The 7,524-nt window shown below is 42.7% G+C and overlaps 1 non-coding gene across 1 annotated transcript; it reads right to left on the minus strand.

The window, feature by feature from the left end:
• Positions 1-5,272: 5,272 nt before the first annotated feature.
• On the minus strand, positions 5,273-5,330 carry MIR4455 (microRNA 4455). Its single transcript, NR_039660.1, has one exon. It is a non-coding gene; the product is annotated as a microRNA 4455 (primary transcript).

Here is a 7,524-nt window from a genome sequence, read left to right on the forward strand (position 1 = left end):
GGCATGATCTTGGCTCACTGCAGCCTCCGCCTCCCGGGTTCAAGCAATTCTCCTGCCTCAGCCTCCTGAGTATCTGGGACTACAGGTGCGGGCCACCACACCCAGCTAATTTTTGTATTTTTAGTAGAGACGGAGTTTCACCATATTGGTCAGGCTGGTCTTGAACTCCTGACCTTGTGATCTGCCCACCTCGGCCTCCCAAAGTGCTGGGATTACAGGTGTGAGCCAAGGCACCTGGCCATAGTTTTGAGTTCTTGATGCAGGCCCTGATCTGTCCTGTCTGCAGGATGTGTGGCTGCCTGACTTCAGATTCTCTCTGGGTTCTGGTACCTCTTAGCTCTATCCCAACTGAGGTTTCTCCTTGGTGATGCTGTGAGCTCTACCAGTCTCCTCAGGGACCAGCCTGGAAGTGGTACCACGTGGAGCAGTTCTCAGATGGGAATAAGGGCAGGGAAAGGCCAGCAGCCCCCTGGACCCAGATTCAGAAGAACCCCTGCTGATTCTCTGTTTTGTGTTTTTTAGAGACAGGGTTTTGCTATGCTGCTCAGGCTGGAGTGCAGTGGTGAGATCACATCTCACTGGATCTCCCAGGCTCAAGCAGTCCTCCCACCTCAGCCTCCTGAGTAGCTGGGAACACAGGTGCATGCCATCACACCTGGCAGTTTCCTTTTATAACAGATGAATTCCTCTGTAAAGTCCTCAAAACATCAAGCATTTCCAGTGCTCTTGGAATGAAATTCAAGGAATATAAATTATATTCACACAGTGCCTCTAGAATACACATTTTGTGTGAAGTTAGAAGAAAAATTGCTTTTTTATTTAAAGTAAATTATAATGAACTAGATCAGCTTTTTTTTTTTTTTCTCACTCAGCCTACAAACTAGTTGACAGCAGTGATTATCCGTTGTTGAAAACAGCAGACAACTGTCTTGATGACTTCCATTTTCAGGTTTCTGAGGCTGGGGTGGGGGCGGTTGCGGGGAGAGGCAACTCCTCAGAATCTTTATTAGATTCTCTGCTAAGTAATAATACAAACATGAAGTAGGGAAATCAAGGTAATATCCCTTCAAAGTGAGGTTTCTTTTTTCTTATTTCAAATTTATCCTGATAAATGCAAATTAAAACAAGGAGATACCTCTTTACACCTAGCGGAATGTCTAAAAACAAAAACAAAACCCCTGACATTACCAAGTGCTGGTACAGATGGGAAGCAGCTAAGTAAAACCCTCACACATTGCTGGGGAGTGCAAATAGTGCAACCAGTTTGGAAAACAGCTTAGTGGTTTCTTTTAAAGATAAACATTCACTTTTCATATGACTCAGCCATTCCTCTCCTAGGTATCACCCAAGAGAAATGAAAATGTATGTTTCCATAAAAATCTGTATGCAAATATTTATAGCAGCTTTATTCATAATTGCCAAACACTGGAAGCAATCCAACTGTCCATTAACAGGTGAATGTGAAATCGAACTGGAAAATACATACAATGAGATATACCCAGTAATAAAGAGGGATGAACTAGGAATACATACAGCAACTTCTCAAGGGTGTTACACTAAGTGAAATCAACAAATCTCAAAGGTTGCATATTGTGTGATTCCACTTAGGTAACATTTTTGAATTGGAGAACAGATTAGTGATTTCCAGGGACTATAAGTGGCGGGGAAGGAAGGAGTAGAGAGACTACAGAGGCGACGCACGGGGTAGATGTCAGTGGTGGTGGAGGCGGTTCTGATACTGGTTGAGGTGGGGTTATGGGAACGTGCACATGTGATAAAATGGCAAACATGATATTGTTGGGGCTCAGAAAACGGCACCCCAAAGGGAGACCTCAGAAGCAGCTCTCTCTCACCTTCTCCGGTCTTCCTGTCACTGGCCCCTGATTCTCCCCTGAAGCTAGTCATGGAAACTAGAATCCCTCCTACCCAAGTGGCCTTTCTGTGTAAAAACTGGACATAAGGAAATTATCTGACCCACCTTGTTTGACTTTAGGTCATGAGAACCCCATTCCAGAGAGGGCCCTGCCCCACACCCAGAAAGAAAGAATGCTGCCCAGAGAGGCCAAGAAGAATCCGGACAGACAGGCCTCGCCGGGTTTCCCTACTCAGTCTCTCAGCATTAGATGTTACCCTTTTTGTCCAATAGTATCTCTACACGGCTGCCCATACCTAAGCATAAAAATGGATGGTTTCCCCTGTATCTTTGAGCTCTTATGTCACATAAAACTCTGATTAAATAAATGTGCATGCCTTTCCTCCTTTTTTTTTTTTTTTTTGAGACGGAGTCCCACTCTGTTGCTCAGGCTGGAGTGCAGTGGTCCCGTCTTGGCTCACTGCAACCTCCGCCTCCCAGGCTCAAGCAATTCTCCTGCCTCAGCCTCTCCAGTAGCTGGGATTACAGATACGCGCCACCACGCCTGGCTAATTTTTGTATTTTTCGTAGAGACGGGATTCCACCATAGTTGGCCAGGCTGGTCTCAAACTCCTGGGCTCAAGCGATCCACCCGCCTCAGCTTCCCAAAGTGCTGGGATTACAAGTGTGAGCCACCATAATCCCTTTTCTCCTATTAATCTGCCTTCTGTCAGTTGATTTTCAGCAAACATTCAGAGGGCAAAGCGGCAGTTTTCCCTCCACTCCTACAATGTCAGCATCAATGTCCTGCTCCTGATGGCATGCTGTAATTGTATAAGATGTAGCCATTGGAGGAAACTGGCTGAAGGGTACAAGGGACCACTTGGTATTGTCTTTGCAGCTTCCTCTGACTCTATAATTACCTCAAAATTAAAAGCTTATATATATGATAATAAAGTTATATATCATGTATATGTTACATATACATATAAGCACACACAAACATGCATGTATATACACACATGCATTCATAAACATATTGTTGTAGGAGTTACTAAGAAATTATTTTAGGCAGATAGAGAGGAGAAGGGGTCCTTGGGAAGTTTTCATTTCTTTTAAAGCACCTCCAAAAACGTTTCTTGTCTAGCAGAAAAGCTCCGGCTCTTAGAGCTGAGCTGGCAACCTTTAGTATGCAAACGCCAGCCATTAGAAACTGGATCCACCCAACATGGCGATTCCCATCATTGTCCTCTTGCCCTTGCCCCACACGTTCCTGGCAACATGGCTGCCCCCACATATCCCCAAGTATGTAGAACATCATGGCACCCTGCATTTGCATATTAAAAGACTAGGGTGGGAGGGTCAGTTTTTTTCGAGGGCTACATGAATGACTTACCTGGTCAAACCAATCCCCTGAGCCCTGTGCAAATCAAACACCATCTCCTCCAGCCTCTTCATATAGCTGGCTGGTATCCTGGCATGTGGGGTCTCCTCTTTCAGCTTTGGAGCCCCCCTCCCTCTGTCTCTGTATGGAGGAGCTTCTTCCTTCTGACTTCTCCCATCTTTCTTGCCTATTAAACTCTCTGCTCCTTAAAATCACACCAGGTGTGTCCGTGTCGTTTTTTCCAATTCAACTCGAGAGGAAGAACCTGGTATTCCTCCATTCATCAGAGCTGTATCAATATGATACGATAATATGGGTGAATCTCAAATATATTATGCTAAGTGAAAGAAGCTAGGCACAAGAGGCTACATCCCAAATTACTTCATTTATATGACACTCTGGAAAAGGTCGGACTAGGGACAGAGGATGGATCAGTGGTTCCCAGGGATTCCAGGTGGGGCAGCACGAGGGTGTATAGGATGATAGAGCTGTCCTGTATCCTCTCTGTGGTGGTAATTACTTGAATCTATGTATGTGTTAAAACTTGAAGAACTGTGCACCAAAAAGAGTGAATTTTACTATACATACATTTAAAAGTAAACTTTAAAAAGTGGCTTGTCAGCAATGCACAGAACAGCTCATTTCTATTGCAACAAACTATTGTGATTACTTTTGTATAAGTTACACATTTGGTCTTCACAATTTGAACCCCAATTGTGACACTATGCAAAGGGGGAAAAGTTCCCTGAGATTGTGTGATCAGTAAAAGATTATATTTACATTTAAATATCTTCAGTGTTTTTGACTTTAGCAAGACAAATGAGAATCTTTGATGGTGTTTGGTTTGTTGACCAGCCAGTTCAAATTACAGCTGGGTGGTTACCAAAGCTGGACAGATTACAGTATGGAATTAAAGTCTGAACAGAGTATGGGAATGCTAGCTTGAAACAAAAATAGAGTTTTGGGGAAAAAGAGCTTGGGAATTAATTGCATTCCTTGAATTCATTCCTTGGAAGTGTTTCATGCTGGCTCCCACAGTGGCTCAGGTGTACATGCTTTGTTTAGTAGTTGATCCTTTGAGCCATAGGAATTTTGGAATGTAATATGTTTGTTCTCCACCCACCCCGTGCCCATGAATCTCTTTTAGTAGGTTGATTTATTCACTCTTTAACTTCTATTGCACCTGAGTATACCAACAGTAGGATTAGGCTAGAAAGTATGCAGTCATAAGCTGAAATCAACAGGGACAAGTGATTAACAGGTGGACAGTGTTGAGCTTGCCAGGTCACCACTCTCATGGTCAATATTTTCTTTGTGCTATTTTTGGCTTGGTTCCACATCAGAGAGTTCAAACTCTGAAGTTGTAAAGATACTGCTTTTAAGAAAAATCAGCTCATGTCTGGACCTTGATTTAATCGTTTATTCATCTTTTTATAGTACTCTCTGTTCCCAAGATAAGCTACTTTATAAGGCAAAATTTCCACCTCGGCATCATTTCATATAAACATTTAATGCTGAAACTCCAGGTTACATCTGGCGTCTAATGATGAACGCAGACAGATGCTCCTATCCAGCCATGCCCTCTGCCACTCCGCGGGGTGCTGCTTTCCATTTCCTCTCTGTGTCTGTCAGCACCAGGGCCGAGCTTTTCTTCCGGGATAGATGCTGAGCTGACTCTGCACTCAAAGCGCTTCAAATGATGCTGATTGAAATCAGATGCTATAAAATGTTCATCACTTAGTTTCATTTATTAGTTTAGAGTGGCGTGCTATGCAAGCTTTTTGCTGTTTATTTATATTTTTACTTTAACTTTTATTAAAGTAATACAAGCATGAATTTTATAGAGCCAAACAATTCTACAATGTTCATTAACACAAATAGTAGTTGCTCCTTGCCTCTTCTCCAGAAACACCACTTTCAATTATCTTAGCTAATGCTATTGTCAGTAACCTCTACATCTCTAAATAAAATGCTTATATTGCTTTCCTTGATTTTTCAGCTTTATGCATTCATCTATTGGCTTATCCCTTTGCAAATGAAGAATTTGGCTGTCCTTCCTTCTCTTATTCTCAGGAAAAACACACACACCCTTCTCATCTGCTTATCTTTCTAATCTGGTTATATCATAATTTTTGTTAGCTCTTTGTTGAGCATTTATATGATTACAACCATGAAAATACTAAACTAAGCCATGCATCAAACTATAATGACTTTTCCTATCCTAGCCACTCTTTGCTTCCCTGGATTAAAATTTTATTATTATTATTGATGCTTATCACTAATTCAAACACAAACTCACTTAATTATACAAACATCCTCTTAAGACAGTCAGAGCATCACATATCTTATCAATCCAATCTTCACAAAATCTCTCCCAGATTCTCCAACATACTTCAGTCTAGATCGGCAGTCCCCAACCTTTTTGGCACCAGGGACCGGTTTCATGGAAGACAATTTTTCCACAGACAATGGGGGATGGTTTTGGAATGAAACTGGTCCACCCTAGATCATCAGGCATTAGATTCTCATAGGAGCATGCAACCTAGACCACTCGCATGTGCAGTTCAGAGTAGGGTTCATGCCCCTGTGAGAATCTAATGCCACCAGTGATTCGACAGGAGGCTGAGCTCGGGCAGTAATGCTCACTCACCTGTCATCTATCTCCTGCTGTGTGGCCCGGTTCCTAACAGGCCACCGACCAGTACCAGTCCACAGCCCAGGAGTTGGGGACCCCTAGTCTAGACCGTTCTCAACAACTGGGGCCAAACTGTCAACCTGGGACTTCTCCATCTTCCTGGGAATTCCCTTCACTTCTCTCATGTTGGATCTCCTGTTTCCTGTACGTCTTCTTTCCTGATTTACTCCTTTATCTTGGTGAAGCATATCTTTTAGCAACTTCCTACTATGAAGGAATAAAGGTGCATAGGAAATACAATATCTGGAACATTGCCTTTCTAAGATGTCTTTATTCAATCCTCATACTCAATTGATTTTTTTTTTTTTTTTTTTTGAGATAGAGTCTCGCCGTGTCGCCCAGGCTGGAGTGCAATGGCGTGATCTTGGCTTACTACAACCTCCGCCGCCCAGGTTCAAGTGATTCTTGTGCCTCAGCCTCCCAAGTAGCTGGTACTACAGGCGCCCGCCACCAAGCCCGGCTAATTTGTTTGTATTTTTAGTAGAGACAGGGTTTCACCATGTTGGTCAGGCTGGTCTCGAACTCCTGACGTCAGGTGATCCGCCCACATTGGCCTCCCAAAGTGCTAGGATTACAGGTGTAAGCTAACACACCCAGCCCTTAATTGATATTTTGACTATGTATAGAATTCTGGCTGGGTGGGGTGGCTCACACCTGTAATCCCAGCACTTTGGGAGGCCGAGGTGGGCAGATCACGAGGTCAGGAGATCGAGACCATCCTGGCTAACTCGGTGAAACCCCGTCTCTACTAAAAATACAAAAAATTAGCCGGGCGTGGTGGCAGGCGCCTGTGGCCCAACTACTTGGGAGGCTGAGGCAAGAGAATGGCGTGAACCCAGGAGGCGGAGCTTGCAGTGAGCCGAGATCTCACCACTGCACTCCAGCCTGGGCAACAGAGCGAGACTCTGTCTCAACAAACAAACAAACAACAAAAAAAAAGAATTCTAAGATAGTAGTTATTTTTCTTCAAATGTTTGAAGGCCTTGCTGTCTTGTCTTCTAGCCTCTGCCATTACTGTTGAGAAGCCTGATGACATTCTGATTTGATCCTTTGTATCCTTTAATCTTCTCAGATCCTTTCTTTATCCCAGCAGTTCTAAAGTTTCCCAGTGACATGCCTTGATTTATGTCTGTTTTTATCTACCATGCGTCAGTCTAAAAGCTTACATCATTCTTGTCTGGGAAACTGTTCAAATTACTTACCAAAATATTAACGAATGATTTTTTCCTTTCCATTTTTTTCTGTTCTCTTTTTCTGAATCTCCTATTATTTAGATATTGGACCTCCTGGACTAGTCTTCTAATTTTTTAATTTGTTCTTTTTTTTTTTTTTTTTTTGCTCTACTTTTTGGGAGAGTTCTTCAATTTTATCTTTCAATTTATTAAGTAAGCTTTAAACATTTTCTAGAATGGTTCTAAATGTTTAAAGCTCCTCGTTCTTCAAAAGTCTCATTTTTGTGTCATTCTATTGCTGTTCCAAGGGTGAAATATCTCTTCGTGTCTCTTGAGCTAGTACTGGTAAGTTTTTAAAAGAGCTGCTCTGTTTTGTCCACATTGTTTTTTACATTGGTTTGTCTTGGTCTGGATCTTTCAC

The sequence above is a fragment of the Homo sapiens genome, chromosome 4 (genome assembly GCF_000001405.40).
Source record: "Homo sapiens chromosome 4, GRCh38.p14 Primary Assembly".
Lineage (NCBI taxonomy): Eukaryota > Metazoa > Chordata > Mammalia > Primates > Hominidae > Homo > Homo sapiens.